General features: G+C 38.2%; 1 protein-coding gene and 1 long non-coding RNA gene across 4 annotated transcripts in view, besides 6 other annotated features; one reads left to right on the top strand and one right to left on the bottom strand.

The window, feature by feature from the left end:
- LOC105369690 (uncharacterized) overlaps positions 1 to 9,029 on the top strand; it is an 18,755-nt gene extending 9,726 nt beyond the window's left edge. For both annotated transcript variants that reach the window (XR_931423.4, XR_931424.4), the window contains exons 2-5: positions 2,177 to 2,230; positions 3,782 to 3,939; positions 6,367 to 6,457; positions 8,875 to 9,029. This is a non-coding gene — a long non-coding RNA (uncharacterized LOC105369690). The remainder of the gene's footprint in view (positions 1 to 2,176; positions 2,231 to 3,781; positions 3,940 to 6,366; positions 6,458 to 8,874) is intronic.
- On the bottom strand, positions 7,134 to 26,584 carry CMAS (cytidine monophosphate N-acetylneuraminic acid synthetase). 2 transcript variants are annotated; one of them, NM_018686.6, is made up of 8 exons: positions 26,239 to 26,584; positions 17,511 to 17,653; positions 17,192 to 17,347; positions 14,102 to 14,235; positions 11,876 to 11,970; positions 11,350 to 11,521; positions 10,368 to 10,521; positions 7,134 to 7,681 (listed from the first exon to the last, which is right to left on the bottom strand). In NM_018686.6, exons 1-8 carry the CDS (start codon positions 26,496 to 26,498, stop codon positions 7,491 to 7,493), a joined length of 1,305 nt encoding a protein of 434 aa, NP_061156.1. In that variant the 5' UTR covers positions 26,499 to 26,584; the 3' UTR covers positions 7,134 to 7,490. The 2 variants fall into 2 exon arrangements, 1 of the variants encoding a protein (NP_061156.1); NR_135117.2 differs by lacking the exon at positions 11,350 to 11,521.
- Positions 23,886 to 24,491: an enhancer, noted in NCBI's record as "OCT4-NANOG hESC enhancer chr12:22201245-22201850 (GRCh37/hg19 assembly coordinates)". NCBI's record gives its function as "activates a minimal SCP1, AML or CMV promoter by ChIP-STARR-seq in naive H9 embryonic stem cells {active_cell/tissue: H9 hESC(naive)}" and the evidence as "EXISTENCE:reporter gene assay evidence [ECO:0000049][PMID:30033119]".
- Positions 25,452 to 26,157: an enhancer, noted in NCBI's record as "NANOG-H3K27ac-H3K4me1 hESC enhancer chr12:22199579-22200284 (GRCh37/hg19 assembly coordinates)". NCBI's record gives its function as "activates a minimal SCP1, AML or CMV promoter by ChIP-STARR-seq in naive H9 embryonic stem cells {active_cell/tissue: H9 hESC(naive)}" and the evidence as "EXISTENCE:reporter gene assay evidence [ECO:0000049][PMID:30033119]".
- Positions 26,331 to 26,700: a silencer, noted in NCBI's record as "silent region_4286". NCBI's record gives its function as "represses an Ori minimal core promoter by ATAC-STARR-seq in GM12878 lymphoblastoid cells {active_cell/tissue: GM12878}" and the evidence as "EXISTENCE:reporter gene assay evidence [ECO:0000049][PMID:35858748]".
- Positions 26,331 to 26,767: a biological region, named in NCBI's record as "Sharpr-MPRA regulatory region 13841".
- Positions 26,460 to 26,687: a silencer, noted in NCBI's record as "fragment chr12:22199049-22199276 (GRCh37/hg19 assembly coordinates)". NCBI's record gives its function as "represses an EF-1alpha promoter that drives an FKBP-Casp9 reporter gene in an ReSE screen in K562 erythroleukemia cells {active_cell/tissue: K562}" and the evidence as "EXISTENCE:reporter gene assay evidence [ECO:0000049][PMID:32094911]".
- Positions 26,473 to 26,767: an enhancer, noted in NCBI's record as "tiled region #13841; K562 Activating DNase unmatched - State 1:Tss, and HepG2 Activating DNase unmatched - State 1:Tss". NCBI's record gives its function as "activates a minimal TATA promoter and a strong SV40 promoter by Sharpr-MPRA in K562 cells, with weaker activation in HepG2 cells {active_cell/tissue: HepG2 | K562}" and the evidence as "EXISTENCE:reporter gene assay evidence [ECO:0000049][PMID:27701403]".

The following is a 26,767-nucleotide window of genomic DNA, read 5'->3' as shown; positions in this document are numbered from 1 at the left end:
CCTCCTAGATGAGACACAGCTAGCTAACTAAACTGATTCATTCTCAGAAACTAGACAGGATTTATGATGACTTTCGTGAATATTCACAGCTCTTCCTATAATCCGTTGAACACATATTTAACCAACCTGTTAACATATCTGGTTATAATTGGCAGTGGGGAATCTGCATGACAATTAAGACTAAATGCTACCTAAAGATCCAAGATAATACAGGAAATGTCTTGATAGCCTGCAAGACACAAACCAACAAATCAAAGCTATTTCTAACCCCACATATTGCTAGATCAATGGTTAGCATTCAGTTTCAGGTCAGGATTGTCCTGGTGGTGGAAGCTACTTATCAGTTTAGCCCCGGCTGCAAGAATAGGCATACTTCTCTGCTTTGGATTTTACTACTGTTGCACCCTGTGTAGGGAAATGCAAGACAGGATTTTTCATATACTTTCCAGACCTCACACTATAATGTTCCAACCAATATCATCTGTAAATCCGGGTACTCATGAATATTTCCAGTTCCAAATAGATCAGTTCCATTCTGATACACAATGACTATGCCCCTTTCAGCAGGAAGCAGCCAGAATGAATATGGCACCTAAATCCCATAGAAATGAAATGGAACTTGGCAGTGGGGAATCGTAACCCAATACTCCCATTTTTCTTTTCTTTTTTCTTTTCTTTTTTTTTTTTTTTTTTTTTTTTGAGATGGAGCCTAGCTCTGTCGCCCAGGCTGGAGTGCAATGGCACGATCTCGGCTCACTGCAACTTCTGCCTCCCGGGTTCAAGTGATTGTCCTGCCTCAGCCTCCCAAGTAGCTGGGATTACAAGCGCCCACCACCACGCCCAGCTAATTTCTATATTTTTAGTAGAGATGGGGTTTCACTGTGTTGGTCAGGCTGGTCTGGAACTCCTGACCTCATGATCCGCCCACCTTGGCCTCCCAAAGTGCTGGGATTACGAGCGTGAGCCACCACGCCCAGCTATACTCCCATTTTTCTAAGAGATAGTTTATTTTCTCACTCTCTTCTCTTTCTTCCATTTCCCCATTTCTCTAGTTAGCTCTTTAGAAATGGAAGTATAGTCTTTACAACCACTTCATCAGATACTCCCTACAGGGCACGTTCATTTAACTATGTGCTCAGAAGCTCGAGAGCAGAACTCTCCACCAGGAGGCTGCCTCGAAAAACAGTCCATCTACAATCCAAAGTGTGCCTGCTGCAAAACTCTCTCTCACCTGGAGAATTTTCAAAAGCTTTTACTACCTAGATCTTCCCATGAAGGGGCCAGCAGTCACCTGCTAAACTGCCCAGGGGTCAATAAGCCGCTGAAACTAATACACACCTGCTCCTTCTCCTCTGGATGCCATTCATGCTAGCATGCCAGGCCCCCTTTAAAAGCACTTGCTTTCTGCTCCAAAAGCAAAGCAGTACTCTTAAAGGCAAGAGCCTATACTTCTTCCCCTAAGCAAGTTTTGGAGTAAAAAGTCACTTTCTTTATACCAGAACTTGCTTTTTTAATTGGACTCTGCACGTGGCAAGTGGCCGAACCTGTGTTTTGGTTACCATGGCATTTTAAATTGCCTGCCTGATAGTACCAGAATCTGTGTCATATCTGAGTCTGAACCTGATGACTGTTTTGTCTCTTCAGACCCTGCTTTTTCTTGTTTTTGATATATCTTACAATTTCTGTTGTTATTGTTGTTGAAAACCAGATATATTGCCTATGGTAATAGGTACCAAGAGAAGTCTTTAGTGTGAAAAATTATATTAATCTTGCTTGGAGTTAAAATGCGATTTAATCTTTCTTATAGCTATAGATACCAGAGATTGCAAATTCTTTCAGTGTCCTTGTTTTTGGCTTTAAGACTTCCTTTTGTATTTTTTTCCTTAGAGAAAATCTGTGTCTTGTAGCTTTTTTGGCTGAAATCCACTTTTATTACATTGGAGACTTATTGGTGTAGTGTATGGTGTGGAACAGAGGGAGCACTCTAAAATCATCTGTGTCTTGGTCTTTTAGTGGGCTTGTGTCTTGGGAGATGACCTTCGCAAGTGTTTCAATTTCTCCTCCAGGGGTATAGTTTTTTTTTCCCATTGCTCCCCATTTTCCCTGGCTGTGGCATTCTCAATCAACTTCCTTGCCGCCTTCTCCCCTGCTGACTATGGATTTTTTTGTCCCTTAGGTGAGACGGGAAAGTGGGCTGGAGTTGAGCAGAGTTCAGAGTTCTCCTAGCTAGGTGAGTTTTCAGTATTGCCCTCTGGGGAGAAGTCCTTTCTACTGGAGACAAGTTCTTTGTGAGGGAGAAGGGGCTGGCAGGATTTAACAATGACTATTCTTTACCTCCTCCTACCAGGGCCATTGGAAGATTATTCTTGAATCCTCAGAACCTCCCTGTGAGAACCCACTGGTATTTCTGGAAATACCAATATTTCCAGTATTTCCACGCCTGCCCCCTGCATGACAGCAACCACGAGGAGTTTCTCACTCTCACATTAGACCATACTCAGGGTCTAGCAATTCATGAAAATTACTAGTTAAGTGTTCCTATCAGCTTAGGGCATCCAGGAGCTTCTGCTGGATGTGTGGCAAAAGTAAGCAAGTATCAGATGCTCTTGTATCTCACTGGATGTGCATATCTCTCCAGATGGGTGGCTGTTTGCCCTGAGTCCTTGGTTCTCTGGTAGGTCCAAAAGCCATTGATTTTTGGACCTACCAAAATCCAGTTTTTCTGGATGTAAGGATGGGACAAAATCCAGTTTGTCCAGTTTTTCTGGATGTAAGGATGGGAATGGCAACTTCTAAGTTCCTTACATATTGGAGCTGAACATGTGATATTTTCTTGAGTAAGATTTCCTACTGCTAGGAACACAGGAAGTAGTTGTAACAGTGAGAACTGAATTATCTCCTTGTACTTGGCTTGGAGTCATTGAAACGAAACAAGGACTCCAATATGGTTTATACTCATACAGAGAAATTGATTTTGGAGGTATTTTAGCAGAAGTTTTTTGAGGAATGAATTGTTCATGCTGATAAAGGTAGGACTTGAGAATAAGCTATGACTGGGGTGAAGAGGCCCACAATAACTTGTAGGAACGACGGCTGGAAATATTAGGTTGTGACCAGGCTACAGTGTTTCGTTTGAAGTATGTTTTATTCTGTGGTCATCAGCATGGAGTCACTAAAAGATTTCAAAAAGGTTAACAACTAGCAAAAATCTGAACAAGTAATCTGGTGACAGTACTGAATAAATTGAAAGGACACTGGGTTAGTAGTATCAAACTCAAGCTTTGGTATCTGAATAGAGATAAAAAGGAGAAACTGAAAAGCTGTAAGATTTTAATAATGATAAAATCAGCAACTTGAGGGATGAAGTCCAGGAGCCTGGCCTATAATATGAAGAATTTGAGATGTGACTAGAACTCACAACAGAGTATTGGGGTTGAAGATTATATTTGAGTTTCGTCTGCATGGAGATTGTCGCTGAAACCTTGAATAGAGATGTGATACCTGGGAAAGAACAAGAAGTGGGGTTAGAACCTTTGTGGATGTGTAAATGCAAAGGAGTGGGAAAAAATAAACTTAATAGCAGGAAAACCGGAAGGATGAGAGTAAAACTAGGACAAGATGTAAAGAAAATTAATAAGCCATTAATTTATTTTAATAGCTTTAAAATAAATAAACCATTAATTTTTGTTTAATGGTTTAATTTAAAATAAACCATTAATTTAAAGTTTTTAAAATAAATTGGTGGTTTTTTTTTTTTCTCCAACTTATGTCTGTTCTACAGGGGCATACTCTGGAGTACGCAAATCCAACAGTCCTGACAGAGGAAAGCAGCTTCCTGTATAGTTGACCTGGAAGGTCAACTTCTTGTCAGAGTTTTACATGAATTATTTTTATGGTGGAAATAGATGTAAATGTTCCACCAAAAATGATTTTTATCAGGTAAATATCCACATTTATGAGATAATGCTCCACTGTTAGAATCTAATCAGGTAGAAGAGTGATTTATGTCAGCTGTAAAGTTGTGACAATAACCATATATAATACAGGCATACCATGTTTTATTGAGCTTTGCTTTATTGTACTTCACAGATACTGTTTATTAGAAATTGAAGGTTTGTGGCAACTTTGCATCAAGCAAGTCTATTGGCACAATTTGTCCAACAGCATTTACTGACTTCATGTCTTTGTGTCACAATTTAGTAATTCTCACAATAGTTCAAACTTTTTCATTATTATTATATCTGTTATGATGGTCTGTGAATCTGTGATCTTTCATGTTACTGTTGTAATTGTTTTGGGGGTTGTGAACTATGCTCATAGAGACAGAAAACTTAATCCATAAATATTGTGTGTGTTCTGACTGCTCCACCAACCAGCTGCTCCCTCATCTTTCTTCCTCTTCTTGGGCCTCCCTATTCCCCGAGACACAACAATATTGAAATTAGGTCAATTAATAAGCTTACAATGGCCCCTAAGTACTCAAGTGAAAGGAAGAGTCACACATCACTCACTGTAAATCAAAAGCTAGCAATAATTAAGCTTAGTGAGGAAAGCATGTCAAAAGCCAAAATAGGCCAAAAGCTGGGCCTCTTGTGCCAAATGGTCAGCAAAGTTTTAAATACAAAGAAAAAGTTATAGAAGGAAACTCAAAGTGCTACTTAAGTGAACACACAAATAATAAGAAAGTCAAACAGCCTTCTTTCTGAGATGAAGACAGTTCAAGTGGTCTGGAAAGAAGATCAAACAGGCCACAAGACTACCTTAAGCCAAAGCCTAATCCAGAGCAAGGCCCTAACTCACTTCAATTCTATGAAGGCTGAGAGAGATGGAGAAGCTGCAGGAGAAAAGCAGGTAGCTAGCAGATGTTGGTTCATGAGGTTTAAGGAATGAAGCATCTCCATTACATAAAAATGCAAGGTGAAAAGCAGCAAGTGCTGTTGTACAAGCTGCAGCATGTTATCCAGAAGATCTAGCTAAGATGATTGACGAAGGTGGCTACACTCAACAACAGATTTTCAGTGTTGACCAAACAGCCTTCTGTTGGAAGATGCCATCTAGGATTTTCATAGCTAGAAAAAAGTCAATGTCTGGCTTCAAATCTTCAAAGGACAGGCTGATCCTTTTGTTAGAACGTTAAAGCAGCCATGATTTTACATTGAAGCTGATCCTCAATACCATTCTAAAAACCCTAGGACCCTTAAGAATAATGCTAAATCTACCACGCCTGTGCAGTATAAATGAAACAGAAAAGCCTGGGTGATAGCACAACTGTTTATAACATGGTTTACTGGATATTTTAAGCCAACTGTTGAAACCTACTGCTCAGAAAAAGAGATTCCTTCAAAATGTTACTGCTTATGAACAATGCACCTGGTCACCCACGTGTTCTGATGGAGATGTACTAGCAGATTCATGTTGTTTTTCATGCCTGCTAATACAACATCCATTCTGAAGCCATGGATCAATGCATAATTTCAACTTTCAAGTCTTGTTATTTAAAAAATACAGTTCTAGGGGTATTGCTGCCATCAATAGTGATTGCTCTGTTGGAAATAGGTAAATCGAAAACTTTCTGGAAAGTATTCACTATTCTAGATGCCATTAAGAACATTCATGATTCTAGGAGGCCAAGGCGGGTGGATCACGAGGTCAGGAGATCGAGACCATCCTGGCTAACATGGTGAAACCCCGTCTCTACTGAAAATACCAAAAATGAGCCGGGTATGGTGGTGGGCGCCTGTAGTCCCAGCTACTTGGGAGGCTGAGGCAGGAGAATGGCGTGAACCCAGGAGGTGGAGCTTGCAGTGAGCCAAGATTGCATCACTGCACTCCAGCCTGGGCGACAGAGCGAGACTCCATCTCAAAACAAACAAACAAACAAAAAAACAGAATTCATGATTCATAGAAGGAGGTCAAAATATCAACATTAATGAGAGTTTGGAAGTTGATTCCAACCCTCATGGATGACTTTGAGGGGCTCAAGATTTCAGTGGAGGAAGTAACTGTAGATATGGTATAAATAGTAAGAGAATGAAGTTAGATGTGGAGCCTGAAGATGTAACTGAATCACTGCAATCTCATGATAAACTTGAATGGATGAGGAGTTGCTTCTTACAGATAAGCAAAAAATGTGGTTTCATGAGATAGAATCTACTCTTGGTAAAGATGCTATGAACACGAAGTGACAACCAATAATTTAGAAAATTACATAAATGTAGCTGATAAAGCAGTGGCTTGAGAGAACTGACTTCAATTTTGAAAGATGTTCAATTGTGAGTAAAATGCTATCAAACAGCATCACACACTAGAGAGAAATCTTTCATGAGTCAATTGATGTGGTAAACTTCATTGTTGTCTTATTTTAAGGAACTGTCACAGCCACCTCAACCTTCAGCAACCACCACTGTTCAAGGCAACATCCTTCAGCAGCAGAAAGATTGACTCGCTGTAGGCTCAGGTAATTGTTAGCATTTTTAAGCAATATTTTAAAATTAAGGTATATACACTGTTTATCTGGGCATAATGCTACTGCACACTTAATAGACTACAGTTTACTTTAAACATAACATTTTATGTACCTGGCATCCAAAAAATTCCTATGACTCGCTTTATTGCAACGGTCTGGAACCAAACCCGTAATATCTCTAAGATATTCCTGTATGCAAAATTACCATTATCTCTCAGGGGTAACTGCAAATAATTTGCTTCCTCCAAATAAATACATAATCTTCATAATATATAAATTTATTTGGATATTTGTATTTGTGTATACTGCTGATCCTTGAACAACATGGGTTTGAATTGTGTGGTCCACTTTTATGTGAATTTTTTTAACCATGTGCAGATCAAAAATACATGTGAATCATGCAGTATATGGAGGGCCCACTTTTTGTATATGTGGGTTCAACAGTGTTGACTGTGGTACTTGAGTATGCACAGATTTTGGTATATGTGGGTGGTCCTGGAACCAACCCCCACATAGACCATATGCTGTTACGTATACATATGTGAAGTACAATCAGATGCTCTACCCCGGCATCGAGTGGCTTGTTTCTCACTAAGATTGGTTAATGTTTAAAGGAAAGAAAGAAAATGCATGGTAAATTTCTTCTAGAGCAACAAGGCAGTTTTCATCAAGTTTGAGAAATGTAGTTTTATTAATAGAAGGGCATGTCTTACCATACACACTGTCCCCAGATAAATAAAATCCCAACATCTTTGAAAGCACACAAACACACAGTTTTACAGGGTACAATACAAAGTGAACTTTGATGATGTTCTTACTTGCATTTACTAAAAATCTGAGAAAGACTGTAATCAGTCTCTAAATAATTATCTTGCGTAAAGAGAAAAGTAGAGCACAATATATATATATCACAAACCAAATCACACTCTCTGTAACATTACAACATGGAATTTACTTAATCAAAAATAAAAGCAAACTGGCTGAAGAAGGCTGTATCATTTTTTTCTCAATATTACGCTAATTTCTATTTTTGGCATGAATTATTAACCTTTTCCATTAGTAGGCAAATGTGCTCTGCAAATTCTCGGATGGCACCACGGCCACCATTACATTTGCAAATGTATCCAACAGCCTTCTGGGCAGTAGAACAGGCATCAGCAGGAGCGCCACTTAGGCCCACTCTCTTCAAGCACTCTTCATCAGACACTTCATTTCCTATCAAGTAAAATAAATACTGAGCAAACATTTAAAGAGACAAAGAATATTCTAGCTAAATAATGCAGACAGCAACCAACAGGTAACTCTGGCAACTTCAGTAAGACCTAGGGGCACTGCATATAAGAATACTAAAGATTAGATGGAACAAAAATATTTTACAGTATAATTGAGGTCCAGGGTTTTCCCTAAGCAATCAAAAATAAACTCTTATGAGCTAGAGAAGAAGAATGGAGCATAATTGCTACCTGCCATGCATATTACAAATGTTAGAAATTTTATATATGAATTCTAAGTAAGTTATTTAAATTTTTCATTAAGCAAAATTTCAAACATATGCGAGAACCCCAATTTTATATTGAAAAATTATCAGAATTTAAAATCACTTAGTAATATTGTTTTCTATGCACTGCCCCCTAGTTTATTTGGGGAAAGGGAGAAGAAGGAATTCCCAGACATAATATTTTATCCAAAAACTCTTCAATATTTATCTCTGATAAATATAATTTTTTATCTGACAGAATATCATTAAACCCACAAAATCAGTAATAGTTCCTTAATATCCTCTAATAACCTAGTATATGTTGAGATACCCCCAGCTGTCTCAAAATTGTCCTTTTATAGCTGACTTATTTGAATCAGGAATGAAATAAGGTTAACATATGGTCTTTTGTTTATATATATATAATCTCTTAAATCTCTTTTAATCTGTAATGGTTCTGATTGGTATGCCATTTATTAATAGTTGCTGAAAAATTACCATTTTTAAAGAATAAAAATAGATACTAAATCATACTGACATAACGATATCCTTTTCCTCCCTCTCTGTTAACCCCTTTTTTGGAATAGGATGCATTTCAGAAGCTCCCAGTATCTTTAATTCACCATTCTGAGTAAAACTATTACTATACTTTAGACCACATACAATAGTACAATCTTGGTTGAAGAGAGTTTCTTTTACATTTGTTCTATGCTTATCTACTGAAATTTTCTCATTTATTATTAAATGTGTTGAAATTTGAATCGTTTTCACTAAAATAAAAAAAGTTAGTATTTGCATAATCCAGCCTTTAAGCTCTATTTACTAAATTTTACTTATAAAAGTATTGATTTTTTTAAGAAATATATTTTTATACACTTATGTCACCCATATAAAACATTGGTGAGTGAGTTATTATTTTTTTTTTTTGTAGACATGGGGCCTCACTATGTTTCACAGGCTGGTCTAAAACTCCTGAGCTCCAGGGATCTGCCTGCCTCCGCTTCCCAAAGTGGTGGGATTGTAGGCATGAGCCATCATGCCTGGCCTGCTGTGAGTTTTAAATAAAAATGTAAATGCTCTTCTCCATTTTCTTACCTCTCCTTTTAAAGTGTGTGTGTGTGTGTTTTTTTTTTAATGTCATATAAGTAATACGTATTCGTGGTAGAAATATTTTTTTAAAAAATAGAAGCAAAAAAGTCACAATCATCCTAATTATCACTATTTGTAGATAATCACTACATTTTGACACATATAATTCTAGAGTTTTACCTATATAAATGATACACTTATTACTATCTGTAGGCACTATGTTAAGCATTTTATATTATCTTTGTTTTTCTTTCTAATGGCTTTATAAAATTTGGTTTGTGTTTATATTCTAAGTAGAAAACTAAGGTATACAGAAGCTTGCTTAACATCCCAAAGAAAGATAATAAGTATAGTTGGAATTTGTTATACATTCCACTAAAATTTTCTTCTAATAAAAATTGGATCTGTCTTTAACAAACATTCTGCAGCATTTATGTCCATTAAATCTTCATGTGTGGTTTAAGGGTTATTCCTGAAGTCTCTAGATCACATGCTCCCAAAGTTTTTCCTGTGCTTCTTATTTTGAGGCTCATATTACCCTTGTAAATACTGCTTTCATACATGATTTATAGTTATTATGCATCTTAATAACTTATCAATTTTAAAATGTTGACATCATCAGACTGTAAGCTCTGCAAGCAGAAAGCCTACAGTTCCCACAACCAGTTCCATGCTGCGTATCATCATAGGTACCTGGTAAGTAAGTGTATTGCTTAATATCCAAGTGAAAAACATTGTTATATTTGATCATGCAAATAAATACAGGTCACAGCACTGTTTGTAATGGTTGCATAGTAATCCTTTTTAGGGATATTCTATTTTTCACAGGACATTTAAGTGGGTTCTTTTAACTTCACTATTGGCCCATTTGTCTCATTTCTTTCCTGGAATTGGAATTTGGAGGAAAAAGTATGTACATTCAATTAGCAGCAAAAACTATTCAGAGTGTAATTCATATGTACTAGAAATTCTGCTAAGTGCTTTACTCATATTATTTTATTAATCCCTTCCAGAGCCCTACGGTAATAGGTACTCTCGATATCTCCAGTTTACAGATGAGGAAACAACATTCATCTTATCACAACTGGCTAATCAGTGGTACAGTCTGACTTCACAGCTTGTGCTAATAATCATTCTACATTTGATACCTATTATCAAACTAACCTCCAGAAAGACTGTCCCAGTTTAACAGTTTGATCAGCAGTGTTTGTTAAAAGAGTTCCTATTTCCCTACAATCATACCCATTTGGAGGATGTGCTTTGTCATTTCTTTAAAAATAAGTAAATAATTAATTCCTGGTCCATTTTACTATGGGTGAATAAAAAGATACCAACCAAGATATGCCACTTCTTTCCAGCACAGGCCCATTTCTTTTCTCCATTCATCTACAACTGCTAGCTTGTCTGATACACTGACTTCCATTTTGCAATCCAGTTTTAAAGAAGACAGCGTCTGCTTTGAACAGGCCCTTTCTGAGATTAGCCTCACCTTAAAAAAAAAAAAAAAAAGGATTGGAGGAAGAAGGGAAAAATTAAAAAGTGAAGAAAACAGAAATCTTTCATAATAATTGACCTTGTAGACAGTCCAAATCACAAACGAGTCATCTTTTGACTTTCTGAAGGTCCAAGTAAGAAAACTGACTGTCGAATTAAAATCATGATGCTTTAAAACAAAGCTCATTTTATTTCTCATAGCCCAATAAAGGTGAGACACAGTATTTTATTTTCTACAATAGAAAGGATTCTATCTACAGGTAAAAATTACAACATATATTGTCTGATACTACTCTAAGATTCTCCTATAATTCAATTTATCCAGAGGAAAGTCTATAACCTCTCTCTTGTGCTGCTTAGCAATACATATTTAGGATTTCTGGTAAATTATAATTATCTTAGCTAGCTTTCATTTAAAAAAATACACTTAAACGTTAAGTTATTTTGAATCAAAAATGTCATTCATAAGAATAAGCTAGATTTTAAAAATCCACAGGATATCGTCCTTTTCTAAAATGGTACACCTATTATCTAGGGAATCTTTCTTGCTGCAAGATCCTTTGGGAAACATTAGATAGCTCCCATTTAAAAGTAGTTATGTTTATATTTACTGAATAAACAAGAAATATTATTTGCTGATTAACAAATTCCTAATTCTACTCATCTAAAACTAAATAGTATAATAATTTTCTAGGCGTATGAAGGCCAAATTTCAGATATTTTAAGAGTTAATACTAAAAATTTAAATCTCTTAATTCCTTGCATGTTCTTTGACCCTGAATCAAAATATTATAAAATACTGCTATATTCAGGGAGCACATACCTCAATACCACTTTTCTTTAATAAACTTATCCCAATAGCATCTTTTACATCATAAGATATTATTTCTTTTTGGTCTCCTGATACATAAATGTGGCCATTGGTGAGACATCCATCAATATTGCAAACCAAAAGTTTTATTTCCTTAAGCTTCTCTTTGCCAAAATAGCCATATCTAAAAGAAACCAAAATAGACCTTTGAGTACAAGTGCAGTACTAATCACTCCCTCTCATCTGGCTAAACCAATACATGAAATGTCACCCTCCATTCAATTATTCAAACATTACTCTCCAAATTTACTTCACATATATATTTTAACATATAGTACAGTAAGTAAAAGTAGTGTGGTCTAGCCAGATAATGTTTCTCACTTTATTGAAGCCATGTAAACACATATTTTACATGTCTTCCTCACATGAACAAAGTAATTACAAAGATCCTAAGATGTCTGAAGTATCAGAAATCAGTATCTAGAAATATAATTATTAAGATTTAGTACAAAGGTTATAAAGGTTTATTTGTTTTTACCTTAATACTCTTTGCTCTGCAATAGGCCAATCAATATCCACATCTATATCCACACTATGTTCAGCTCGCATTTCGTAGTATGCCATTTTTCCACCCTAAAGGTAGTATAAATGTCATGAATACTGTTTTTAATATTCATTCACATATATCAAAACTTTATTATAATACAGAACAATGAATTCATTTCTACAGTACTGAGAAAAATGAATAACCCAGTAAAAATCAGTCACATAAAAATGATTTTTAAATTTATTTTTACTTTTTTATTTTTTCGAGTCAGGGTTTCACTCTGCCTCCCAGGCTGGAGTGCAATGGTGCAATCATAGCTCATTATAACCTTGAAATCTTAGGCTCAAGCAATCCTCCCACCTCAGCCTCCTAAGGATCTGGTACTACAGGTATACAGCACCATGTCCGGCTAAATTTTTAAAAAGTTTTTTGTAGATATAAGATCTTGCTATGTTGCCAAGGCTGGTCTTGGAAACCTGGCCTCAAGCTATCCTCTTGAGGCCTCAAGCTGGCCTCTCAAAGTGCTGGGATGACATGCTTCAGCCACCACGCCCAGCTTTTTTTTTTTTTTTTTTTTTTTTTTTAAGGAGAAAGCTCACACAAAAGAAATAACCTTAACATTTTTCAAATTCTATCTAAACAGTTCAAGTTCCCTATTTAAGAAAATTTCTATTTTAATATTGAAAAAAGCAGAAATATTACATCCTCCAGGTTTCTGACCACAAGGGATTTTGTGGAAATCCCTTAATCATATCCTCCTTTTTTTCAAGAAGTCTCTCCTGTCATCATCCAAAAGCAGTATTAAGGTTTTTGGAACTTCTGTTCTAATTTGCAACTAACAGGCAACACAGGGGAGGAAAAATAACTGTAGCATCTGTTGTACAGAGTTTTCTTAGATCTCTGAGCTACTGATGAAAATGACTAATAGTCATCCAAGTCACATGCAGGCAAAGGCAAGGGCAGTCTCTTGATTCTAGGCAAGGGTCAGCAAGAGAAAGGGTCTTTCTTCTGATAGTAATTATTTGAATGACAAGATCAATTACTGGACAATTTCAATTTCATTTTTTTTTTCAGAATTGTCAGTCTCTTCATAAACCTTGTTTTAATGAGAAACATTTTTCTCCACACTTTAGGAATGGGTTAATCATGGTCCTCCTTAGAAAAAAGCTTAAAAATGGTAGTATCTATGTGTGTCAAATCCAATTTTTCTGAACACTTAAATTTAACTAAACAGCTAGTCTATAGTTTGCCTACACATTGACCAGAAGATTTGTAAAAATGTTTTTCTCTCTTTTGCTCAGAATAATAGTCCCATTAGAATTTTTATTACACAATGGAGAGGTTTCTCTCTCTCTCTTTAAAACCGCTATTTCTTGAGTAACATAAGAACCTGAATCCAAATCCTGACAGTACCATTTATTAGCTGTTTTTGCCTTGAGTCAATTACTTCATATTTCAGTGAGGCAGTTTTCCTCCTCTGTAAAACTGGGTAGAAATGTCCACTTCATTCATTCGCTATGCAGATTACATAAGATAACATATGCAAAGTGTTTCACCTACTCCGAAGTACACAGTAAATAATAAATAATAATGATAACTAAAATTAACAAGTTAAGAAATATATGATGCAACCATGTTGCAGGCTCTAAAATGAGAGAGACATTAAATCTGTTATTTGAAAATGAGAGTCAGGACAGATAAAATGATACATATTCAAGCTTACATAGTAAGAGGCAGTTGACTTAAAGTATAATAAAAAAAAAAAAAAATATATATATATATATATATAAAAAGATTCCGGGTTTCCTGACACCCAGGTTGTAACTCTTTTCACCTCTATGAAATTATTTGTCTTTTTAAAGCAATAGAAGTTATTCAACCCTACAGCCACAATATAACTATAACACAAACATGGATTACGTAGTTTTGAGTGGAATAATATGAGTACCAGGACATGTGTAGACACCCAGTACTTGATTCATTTTTTTATCGTTGTAGCAGAATTCCTTGCATATTTACTGAATGGATTCCAAAGATCACTTTGGGGTAAACCTGCAGGATAAATGCCTCAGATAGCAAATGTTGTTGGCTATTACCTTTCCTCTATAGGTTGATACTTTTCTTTATCATAAAGAAATTGTACCATACTTCTTCCCTAGAACTCAAAGTATGCCTACAAAAGCGCTTAAAAGGGTTATGCAAAATGAAGGTACAAACCTGCAAGTAACCCATCTCTATCAAATGTCTTTTAGCAAAATAAAATGAGCCATTTTCATATAATTCTCCATCCCAGTCTTGTCGACGAGGCCGTTTAGCTGGATTTAAATTCAGAGGTTCGGTCACTTCACGAACTAAAAGCAAAAAGTTAGAGTAAGTCCACGTTGCCCTGAATATAGAAAGTGTTAATTTAGTAACTAAAAAAGTTAATAAAAATGAACTCAGAATGCAGAGCATTTCTTTATCTAGATAAAGAACTTTTCTTTTTTTTTTTTTGAGACAGAGTCTCGCTCTGTCACCCAGGCTGGAGTGCAATGGTGCGATCTTGGCTCACTGCAACCTCCGCCTCCTGGGTTCAAGCGATTCTCCTGCCTCAGCCTCCCAAGTAGCTGGGACTACAGGCATGCACCACCACACCTGGCTAATTTTTGTATTTTTAGTGGAGATGGGGTTTCACCATGTTGTCCGGGCTGGTCTCGAACTCCTGACCTCGTGATCCGCCCACCTCGGCCTCCCAAAGTGCTGGAATTACAGGCATGAGGCACTGCACCCGGCCTGATAAAGAACTTTTTTTAGGCTGAATGTGGTGATTCACGCCTGTAATCCCAGCACTGTGGAGGCCAAGGCGGGCGGATCACTTGAGGTCAGGAGTTCGAGAGCAGCCCAGCCAACATAGTGAAACGCCATCTCCACTAAAAACACAAATTTAGCCGGGCATGGTGGTGGGTACCTGTAATCCCAGCTACTTGGGAGGCTGAGGCAGGAGAATCGCTTGAACCCGGGGGGGGGAGATTGCAGTGAGCCGAGATTGCGCCACTGTACTCCATCCAGCCTGGGCAACAGAGTGAGACTCTGTCTCAAAAAAAAAAAAAAGAACTTTTTTAAAGGAATAAAATCTGTAATAATTCTGATGATTTATCTTTGCTTTCCAATAGCTACTAGAAAACTAAAGTATTTTATAATGAAATGTGGAACAATTAAGGTATTCATACAAATATTATGCTTTGGGAGGACATCAAGACAACCTTAAAGTAGCTTTAAAAGAACTGAATTTGTCATAAAATACCTATATTAATATTTGGGCCCTTTAATCTAGTTCTCATTGTTTGCATATACAGAAATAAGTTTTATTTATCTAATGTGGTTGAGAACTTGTTTTTATACAATTATTGCTGAAAAGTAAAGATTTCTCCATTAAATTATTGAAGATTTTATATTGATGAAAATGTTTATGTAACATATTATACATTCTTACCATTAGTTAAAAATATACTAAACATAATAATAAATTATGTTTATGAGTATACCTGATAATAAAGGCTCAGTAATGTCAACATTAATGAATAGAACATAATGTAATCAATGAAGACTTTGGTACTGTCATGTAGAGATTCCTTTGCCTTTCCACTGAGTTTTCCTCAAATCTGTGTGTGTGTGTGTGTGTGTGTGTGTGTGTGTGTATGTGTGTGTGTGTAATAGCTGGTTACTCTCCAGAATCTTTCTTCACTTTTTGCTGCCATTTCTGTGTTTATACAGGCTTCTAGGAATAACCTCTACTTACTTGTTTAACGAAATCATCCCCTGTTCAATTCCACCCCAGTGTTTGAAATAACCCAGGAAAAAACCTTAGCAAATACAAATTAAATAGCTAGAGATAACATAGCTTTATGGGCACTGGCTACAGAGTAGTGACCAGAACTCTCTCTATTCTCAAAAAGTATACAATCTAGGGGTAGAGACAGGTAATAAACCAACTAGATAATTCAAGTGGTACTTTGAAGAAAAGAGAGGGACAAATCTTTCCTAGTATCGGTGGCTGCTTTCTCCCTGGTCATATCTGCTGAGTATGAGGAGAAGGTACAAGAAAGATCAAGCTTTGCATAATCAGAGGGACTCTGCTGAGGTAGGCAAAAACTAGAAGGGCTTTCAATGACCTTGTGGACTTGAGTTACAGATTGTCATCTGTAGGAACCACAAACATATAGCTCGTTTTTCCCCACCTAATGCTTCCCCCTTACAAGACTTTGGCTGAGTGTACTGGGTGGGAAGCTGGGAATGGGCTGGAAAGCAGGGAGACATCATAATAGTATTGTGGTCATCAGATCCCTTAGTCTTGTTAGCAAGAGTAGGGTATGGGTGTGAGTGTCAGTAACACATACAAGATGTATCTCCTAATAAGACACCTATACTAAGAGGTGAGATGAAATTAAAGTTTCAACCCAGCCCAACTCCTAATTGAATCAAAGTGATCAGCCCCTTATCCTATCTTCCTGATAGAAGAAAAGGTGTACCCTCTCTGGAGGAAAATATGTACTCAAGTGTCTATGCCAGATATACAATTAAACATGAGCCAAATGAAGAGGCAGAAATAGGTGACTCACAATCAAGAAAGAAGCAGATTACAGAACTGTAAGTGACTAGATGTTGAAATTTGCAATCAAGGACTTTCAAATAGCTATCAAAAATATGTTAAATTAGAGGAAATGACCTTTTTTTAAAATGGATAAAAAAATGGAAAATTTCAACAGAAAATGGAATCCCTACGAAACAACTAAAATGTACATTACTGAATGGAAAAACACAGTGTTTATAATAATTCTCTGGATAAGATTTATAGCACACTGGACATGGCAGGCAAAATGCCTAGTAAACCCTAGGGAACCCTTCTTATATATGGAGTTAGGAATTTGGGGAAGAACTTCAAAATGTCATTCTTGAAATCCTTCAGAACACTTTGGTGGATGCTTTCTATCTCTATATGACTTGTATGGAGTTCATCAAACATGTCTAGAACAAACATAAAAGTATTTGATCTAGAAAAACAGCATATCTGCCTCAAAAGGCAAACAGAAATAAGAGGATTAGAATGTCCCTTTGTAAAGAGTAAAGCAAAGAATTAATTTGGTCTAGCTGTGTTGGCTCGATAACAGATTTACAGCTGATTGTAAATGTCATTACCTACTAAAGTAATGAGTCAAATACTCTCTTTTACAGCTCCCCTTTTACTCTCCTCATGCCTAAAGGATATTTATATACAAAAAAATTGATTCTCAATAAAATCAGCTAAAATAAAGACTGAAAAGAGATTACCTCCTTTCTGAATTTCACTCCATCGAAACTGATGGCGTCTCACAACAGAGAAAACAGAATCATATCCTTCTTCTCGAATCATTTCTGCAACTTTTTGAAGATCAGTAGGATGTAAACATGGAGAAGTAGCTTGAATATTTCCTACAATGTCAACCTCTTAAAAAGACAAGAGAAATGAAAAGGATATTTAAAAAAAAAGTTCCTTGCAAGCAAGTAATATTAAGGTTTGGAATTCAAATGTTAAAACAAGTCTTATAAGATAATAAAGGAAGTAGAAAAGTACATAAAGGTTTGAATAAACTATTAATCAAATTCATACCATTATGATAATTAAGAAATTCTATGATGGCATCTAGTGAGGTAGAGCTGTCTTTTGAAACTTCAGAACTTCTTCGATGAACTTGTGCACCAAATTGTTTGGCCACATTCTCAATTTCATCATGGTCTGTCGAAACCCATACACTGTTCAGATATCAAAAGAAATTAACAGCCAAATCAAAAGAAATCATTAACAATAAAATGGAGCTCTGTAACCATAAAATACAGCTTATATAATGTGAGAATATTTTTTGCACAATGATAATAATGTTACAGATCCAAAGGAGTATAAAATGTAAGAAATTATAAAGTATTTTGTATATAAATATATTAATGAATAAAAATGCAGTCCTAGATATGCTTTATATAAAGAAAGGAACAACAGACACTGGGGCCTACTTGAGGGTAGAGGGTGGGAGGAGGGTGAGGATCAAAAAACTACCTATCAGGTACTATGCTTACTACCTGAATGACGAAATAATCTGTACACCGAACCCCTGCAACATGCAACTTACCTCTGTAACAAGCCTGATGTACCCCTGAACCTAAAATAAACGTTTTTAAAAAGGCACTAGAAGTCAAATCTAAAGAAAATTAAAGATCTTGCTTATTCTCCATCCAAATCCAAAATATTGTATAAAATATTTTAATATGCTTGCTAAAAAAAAAAAAATGGACTTGGCTTAGCCAAACCCTAAAGGTGAAACAGTTTCAAGCTTAGAAGATAATAAATGCCCAAGTCTGGGCTCAAAAAAAATCAGATGAAACAACTCTTTCTTTTTTAAACAACAAACAATGGGTATATAGATGTAGAATCAGCTGGGTTATAGCCATTGATAACAACAAACATGAAGAACATGACTTCATTAGCTCAAAAGAATTTAACTTAATACTCTATTAACCGCAGGTTACACAGTTGCCTATTTAGCCTTTACAAAATGATGAGTAGGCAAAATGCTGTTTTGGAGAGGGGTACCAGTTTCTATTGAAGTTTTGTTTCCTGGACAGTCACAAATTCCCACTGCTAAATGCAGAAGATGTAAATACTACTCTAGCCACAATGTTTGGTCAGGCCTGGAGTCTCACACCTGTAATCCCAACACTTTGGGAAGCCGAGGCGGGTGGATCACCTGAGGTCACGAGATGGAGACCAGCCTGGCCAACACGGTGAAACCCGGACTCTACTAAACATACAAAAATTAGCTGGGCATGGTGATGCACACCTGTAATCCCAGCTACTAGGGAGGCTGAGACAGGAGGATCGCTTGAACCTGGGAGGCAGAGGTTGCAGTGAGCCGAGATCGCGCCACTGCACTCCAGCCTGAGAGACACAGCGAGACCCTGTCTCAAAAAAAAAGACAAAAAACAACAACAAAACCCTGCCATGTTTTTTTGTTTTGTTTTGTTTTGTTTTGAGACGGAGTCTCGCTGTGTCTCCCAGGTTGGAGTGCAGTGGCGCGATCTCGGCTCACTGCAAGCTCCGCCTCCCAGGTTCATGCCATTCTCCTGCCTCAGCCTCCCAAGTAGCTGGGACTACAGGCGCCCGCCAACACGCCCGGCTAATTTTTTGTATTTTTAGTAGAAACGGGGTTTCACCGTGTTAGCCAAGATGGTCTCGATCTCCTGACCTCGTGATCCGCCCGTCTCGGCCTCCCAAAGTGCTAGGATTACAGGCGTGAGCCACCGTGCCCGGCCCCCACCATGTTTTAATAGTGATTTATGCAAAGATATCTTAATGACTTATAGTCTTTGGTGTATGTGTGTGTATATATATATATATATTTGGTGTGTATATATATATATACACACACAAACATATATACACATTATTTTATATACATACAAAATTATATATAACGTGTATATATAATGTGTATATATAATGTGTATATGTGTGTGTGTATATGTATACATATACACACACACATATATATTTTTCCTTTTATCCCACTCTTTCGATATCTACTGAGGGAAAGATGAACTGCATGTTTTGTTTGTTTTTTTGACAGAGTCTTGCTCTGTCACCCAGGCTGGAGTACAGTGGCCCATTATCTGCTCACTGCAACCTCCACCTCCCAGGTTCAAGCGATTCTCATGCCTTAGGCTCCTGAGTAGCTGGGATTAGATTACAGGCATGTGTCACCACGCCCGACCAATTTTTAGTAAAGATGGGGTTTTGCCATGTTGGCCAGGATGGTCTCAAACTCCTGACCTCAAGTGACCCTCCCACCTCAGCCTCCCAAAATGCTAGGATTACAGGTGTAAGCCACCACGCTCGGCTGAACTGCATGTTTGTCTATGCTCAATTATCATGAGTGGAAAGAAAGTGAAAAACTAAAGAAAATCTTCTAACATCCCTGGATTTCATTTATTTATTTCGTTTATTCCCTTTAATATTTATAGAGGGATTTAAATCAAGGGATAAAGTCAGTAAGAAAAAATAATCAAAGAAAGCCTAGCAAACAAGATGAGCCACTGGCTAGGGGTCAAGAATCCCGTGATATCTACTTATGTCACTCTATGCAGGGCGAACGCAGGAGCCCCCATTTTCCTCCATCTTGAAATCTGAAATAGTGGGAAAAAAATGTTCTCTTGGGAAATGTCATAGTCAAAGGTATATAACAAAGTAAAGTAGCAATGAAAACCTAGTGCATTTTTAAAATAGAGATGACGAGAGGATAAGATGAAATTAGAATACAATAAAAAATAAACAGGGAAGGCAAAAGACATGGTAATTTGGCATCTAATTTACATTAATTGAAATAAATTGCTGAAGCCATTTACTTCATTATCCTGATTTTTACTGCAATGAAAATTCAATACCAGAGGGTTCAGTGGTCTTTAAGTAATGTTTAAAAAGCAAGAAAAAAAACAGAATTTTGGAGGAGGTTTGCTTTTCTTCCTTCCTTCCTTCTTTCGTTCATTCATCCTTAATTTATGAACCATTTACTAAGTGCTTATTCTGTCCCAGGCACGATTCTGGACACTAGGGATGTAATAACATATAGAGCATAGTTTATTTTCTTGAGAAAGTCTTGGCCTACTGATGGAGACTGAGGCCAATATAGCGGTGTAATTCTCTTTAAACCATTAGGAAAAGAGAAGCGAGGGATCAATTAAGTAACTACGCTCTTTTCAGTGCTTTACTTTTTACAAAGTACTTTCACAGTGCCTGCTACATATCAGGTGCTCAATATAGATCTGTTGAATGAATGAAACAGTAAGGGATTAAAAGGATGGTTTCTGAAGGAAGAGGTTCAATTCTGGCTCCACCACATGCTAGCTATATGACCATGGGAAAAATCCATATCTCCCTATGCCTCAATTTTCAGTAAAATGGAGGTAAGTAATAATAGTGGGTACCTCATATGGTTTAGAGGATTAAATATAAACCATTTACTACAGAATAAACATTTAATGTTAGCTATTCAAAATACCAAAATAGGAATGGTAATAAAGTAACATCTACTCTGTCTCATTTAATCCTCACACTCAATCTTCAGAAGGTAGACTGAAGTTCTGCTTCCAGACCTTCAAAGGTCCAAATGTCTAATTTGTATGTTATGTTAAGCAATTACACTGTGAAAAAAATATGAAAACAGTATCCCATATGTACACTTAAAATACTATGATCATAACCTATGAAAGAGACTGAGTAGATAATTTTCCTTTGGTTTAGGGACATAAGATGGGGCTATGCAAAAGAGAAAATGAGCAAGTGAACAAACAGGCCAGTCAAGCAGAGTGAATGTCAAAGTCTAATGCCAATGGCTTTAGCCTCAAATGAAGTCACACCACATCTAACAGGACCAACAGGAATATCAACCATGGTGCCTGTGATAACTATTTTAAATCAGAAGCTGCCATTTTAGGGATAATAACAGCATAGGCCTTTCATTAATCAAAAGTCTATACCCTAAGCATAAAACTAAAACATGTTTACTTTTCCCAAGTATGTTAGGCAACACTTACAAATCAATTTGTTCTGAGGTTTACTTACACAGCACTGAACCACTGTTGAAAATTAAGCTCTTACAAAATCAACTCTGGCAATAACTTTGTACTAAAGGAAAAAAAATTATCTCAGCATTTTTCTTAACTACTAACTAGCCTAGTTAGTATGCAAAGTTAGCAACCTTGAAAAGTACTGTTAGCTTTGATTCTGAGCAGGCCAGAGAAATCTGCCTCAATTAAGTCAAATCGTGGTTTTGAACAAAATAATCTCAAAGGTATCTTCGAGCCCTGAAAAACACAAATCAGACAGCTGCAATTTTCTTCAGCTCTCTCCTAAGGTAAACATTTTTTGAAGAAACAAAAGAGAGGGTAGGAGGCAGGAAGGGTGCTCCAAAGTCCTCTTACAGCTTCATAGTAAGTCAATTGAATATAAGTCAACACATTTTAATGATCTAGTATATAAAGCATACCATGATGAATAAGAGGGTACTTGCTCATAAGAAGCTTAGCTTTTCACCTAGTATGGCAGGAGTCTCCCCAGGCCAAATTCTGCCCACTCCTCAGCCTGTTTCTGTAACATTTTATTGGAATACAGCCACACTCTTTCATTTATGTATTGTCATGGCCACCTTCACAACATACACAACAGTAGAGCTGAGTGATTGCAACAAAGACGATCTGGCTTACAAAACCTAAAATATTTACTATCTGGCCCTTTACAGAAAAAGTCTGCTGGCCACTGAAACTGAAAAAGAGAATAAAGACATCTTTCCACTAACTCTTCAAAGTCAAAGAATGTTAGCACCAGAAATAATTTTAAAGATCATTACAACTTTCCCGTTTTACAAGCAATGGGAGAGTTTCCCATTTTACAAGCATGGAAGATAGTAAAAACCTTCTAAACAAGAGGAAAATGTCAATAACAGATTACATACTATGTGCCAGGCACTATTCTAAGGGCTGCACGTACATTATCTCACTTAATTCCCTCCACAAGCCTGTGAGGCACACACTTCAGTACATTTTGTAGATGAAGAGACTGAGGCACAGAGAGGTTAAGCGATTTACCCAAGTTTGCACAGTTAACACATGGTGATGCTGGAATTCAAATCCACAGTTTGATTTCAGAGTCTGTGATCTTATCTCCCTGCATAGGGCATGCACTAAATGAAGGTACAAACGACGTAGCTATGTATGGGAAAACAAAGGCACAATTACTTTTCACTGAGGGGATCAGTAAAGGCTTCATGGAGGAAGAAGTGCTGGTCCCTTCTATTACCTTTTGACCTAATCTCTCCAGATGCCTGGAAAGGATGACAAATAGCACATAGCCACAAAACTTGAACAGAGTAAATTCACATTGTTACATGATACTGTTAAGTTAGAAATACATTCATTTTGCTAGTTTAGAAAAAAAATTTTTTTTTTTTTTTTGAGACAGAGTCTTGCTCTGTTGCCCAGGCTAGAGTGCAGTGGTCCAGTCTCGGCTCACTGCAACCTCCACCTCCCGGGTTCAGGTGATTCCCCTGCCTCAGCCTCCTGAGTAGCTGGGATTACAGGCATGCACCACCACAACTGGCTAATTTTTGTATTTTTGGTAGAGATGGGGTTTCGCCATGTTGGCCAGGCTGGTCTTCAACTCCTGGCCTCCGCCTGCCTTCGGCCTCCTAAAGTGCTGGGATTACAAGTGTGAGCCCAGCCAATTTTATTTCTTCTAATCGCCACCATTGATATAGTGACAGATACCACAGGTGGCTTGAAGAAGTATAAAACATTATCCCTGTGGTCAATGAGTTTACACTCTAGTCTAGAAGTATTAAATAAAACTACTTGGTACAGAAAAGGTTGATACTAGAGTCTTTTTTTAAAAGAAGTTTTGTACAAATGCTAAAATGTGGAAATGGGAAAATCATTGGTCAATATATATACATATTTTCCAATCATTTCATAGCAAAATCCCCAATGCCTGCTGTAATGGTTGGTTGTTGGGTTCTGACCAACAGAATCTATTCCCCCTCACTTTTGGTAATTGTACTCCAATTTTCCTCTTGATGAACCTGTCATGTTTTTCAGCGGGGGCTCCATCGCTGGTTTCAAGAGTGGAAGATGAAGCTATACTGTAGCAATACAAGCACTATGTTCCTCTTGCCATAGTGACTGGTTGAAGAATGAGCAGGGTACCCAATGAGGCACAATGAAACTTCGAGCTTCGAGGAGAGCACTCCTTCTGACTTACATTTAAACCTGTAAGAATATGAGGACTGCTATCAAAGACACACAAAATCGGTGACTAAAGTGTTAAGGACAGATTGTATTCTGTTACTACTGCAACAGGGAAAAGAGTCCAATGTGAATTGCATTCACAGCCCCAGAAAACGAAAGGCTGGAGACTTTAAAGGCTGAGTTGTGCTAAGGGAAAGGCACTGAGGGGTGCTAACAGGGCTTAGTCCGTGTGACTAGGCCATATGGATTTGTTAACTAGCGCTTATCTGGAAGAGAAACAATCTTCTATCCTTATGAGACAAGGCAACTGAGCAAGTTGAAGCAAGGTGTCCACTGAACTTTGCCCTTTATCTTCCCAGAGGGACTAGGAAGGAGAGTAAGAGTTATTTCCTAGAATGTTCGCATTTCACTGAGACAGGGTTCTGGGGCTCCCAGGTCCTTGAGGAAACAGTTTTGTGTGGTAGATTTACATCTCAAAAGGCAGGGAAAGTTTTTATAATTGCAAGCTTTCTAAACTAATTGCTCTAAAAGAGGGTTCAGGGGCCTCTCACCAGGTTTTTCCTGGAACAATCAGGAAATTCTGGCAGCTTTGAGCCTCTTCAGGAAGCCATTTTAAGGGAACCTGAGATCATCCTAGGGACATGGCCTTAAGCTGCTAGAAGCCATGCTAGGGCTTGGTCAAGTCTCTTGGAGCAGAGGTTTGGAGCAAGTCATTAGGTACCCTGAGAGTTCTGCAGTTCTCAGTACAACCACCTTGAAACCATAAAGGGTCTATCCAGAGCTAAGAAATTGAGGATTCTGGCAACAAAGTGCACCATCCTCTTATCCTGCTTTACTTTTTCTTAAAAATATTTATCATAACGTGATACAACACACATTAATGTTCTTGTATACTGCATGTCTTTCCTTATTATAACGTAAGCTCTATGAGACTAAGGGCTGTCTCTACTGCTACTACACGTGGTTCGGTACATACAACAGTGCCTGTTACATAGTAGGTAGGCAGTAAGTATGCTGAATGAATGAATCATTTTTTTGTCCTTGAATCTGACTGTACCTTAATAAGCCTTTCCCTCTTTTGTTATGCCAGTTTGAACAGGGTTTCCTGATATATACAACCTAAGAGTTGTAAATGGTATTAACAGTTTTGTTCTCCATTTACTGTGAATATGATTTTGATCTCTAGTTCATTTCACAAAAATGATATTTCACTATATTACTGCAGTCTGGATGCACCTACTTCTCTCAGTCCTTTTTAGTTTGTACCCTTTCTAAGAATGTAAAAATATCCCAAAGTTTGTGAGCTTCACAAGGACAAAAACTGTGTCCCAATCATCTTGGTATTCCCTTGGACATGTATAGCAGAAATTAGGGCTCAGTAAATAGCTACTGAATTGAACAAAATCCCCAGGTCCTTCCCTATCTCTCCTTCGCACACTTCCTATTGCACTAGTGTTATCTTCTGAGTGGTGGCTCCTATTTGCCTTGGTCCATCCAGGACTTCTTTTGGGTTGAAACATTAAGAAAATTAGTATATTTATACTTTTTTGGCATCTCCCGTTTTTGAACAAGACTGGTTAAATGAAAATCATTTACCCATATATTAATATGGGTAAGCAAATATAGGTTCAAAAAGAAAAAGAGATGACTTCAAAAACAGTCATCTCTTTAAAAATCGAAACATCAAAAGGTTAACATAAATTAATTTCCACAATAACAACACATTCAAATGTAGTTAGGTTGAAGCTATATGTGTAAATTCATTCTTGGCACAGAATTCGATCTCCCTTCTTTTATGAATAACATCAGCTTGTAACTCCTGACCAATTTGGCAATGTATCTAAATTACGCATAATTAAAACTGTCCATAGGGCAGGCGAGGTTCCAAAGGTATGATTAAATGATTTGTAAGTATTAATATATCATAAAACAGTCAGTTGTACACCTTCCCACTGAGTCTCACGTATTTATAAATGTAGGGAGTTTTCTAGATTGTGCTGACTCACAGGAAGATAGCTGGAGTATTTTTCAAAGGTTAGGAAAAGATCTCCAAGCTGAGCTTGAAATTCAGCTCTGACACCCCGACACTCAACTCCATTCATGAACCTGATGCCTCCCTAATCGAGCAGCACCAAGCAGTTATCAGAGGCTGAGCAACAGGGGAGCTTCGATGGCCCCCATCCAAAGAAGTTCACATATTATCACAGATGTTGCACCGGGGTGGCCTCCTTTACTTTTCCCCGTAAGGTCAACCCGGGAGGAGGGGACGGTTGGGGAGGTGTAATCTCCCCTTTTACGGATGATTCTCAAGGGCGGAGACAGGAACTGTCCCAGGTTATGACCATTGGCAGCTACGGAACAAGGAAGGAGCTGGAGCCCTTCCTCCTGGGCTCTCAGCCCGGCCCCAGGCACCCCGGATCTTGCACATCCCTGGCATGAGAGATGGCCCCCTTCCAAGAGCGGTGGCCCCGGAGGCCCCAGCCCCTCCAGCAGCCCGACTCCCTCTCCCGACCCCCGCCCAGGCCGCGCCGCCCACTCTCGCACATGCGCACCTCTGGAAGGCCCCTGAATCCAGGGCCGCACGCAGGACCCAGCCAATGAGCGGGACCCCCGCCAGGTGCTTAATGTTCTTCAGGGGGATGCCTTTGCTGCCTCCCCGGGCCAGAATTAGGGCTGCCAGGTGCGGGGGCTTCTCCACACCTCGGCCCTGGCCGCCGCGAGAGTTGCGCTGCAGCTTCGGCGGCCGGCCCCGGGACGGTCGCCCCCGCGGGTTGGAGACGGAGGTGGCGGCCCCCTTCTCCACCGAGTCCATCTTCCTCCCACGCCTTCTCCCCAGCTTCTCCACATCCGGGAGCTAGTCCCTCACCACCTCAGCTCGGCGCCGCCCGATCCCCGCCTGGCAGCTGGCGCGCGCGGCCGTCCCTCGCCCCGCCCCCTCCCCCGCCCCTCGCGGTGCTCGCTGGGAATTGTAGTCCGCGGCCGCCTCGTCTGGGGCCAGTAGGCCAAGTAGGCTCTGATGAGGTGACCCCAAAACTAAGTCAAGCAGTGGGAGTCCAGAGATATTTGGAGGAAGTGCGGCTT

The sequence above is a fragment of the Homo sapiens genome, chromosome 12, assembly GCF_000001405.40.
Source record: "Homo sapiens chromosome 12, GRCh38.p14 Primary Assembly".
Lineage (NCBI taxonomy): Eukaryota > Metazoa > Chordata > Mammalia > Primates > Hominidae > Homo > Homo sapiens.
The sequence above is the reverse complement of the archived record's forward strand: the minus strand, read 5'-3'. Positions and strand labels throughout refer to the sequence as shown.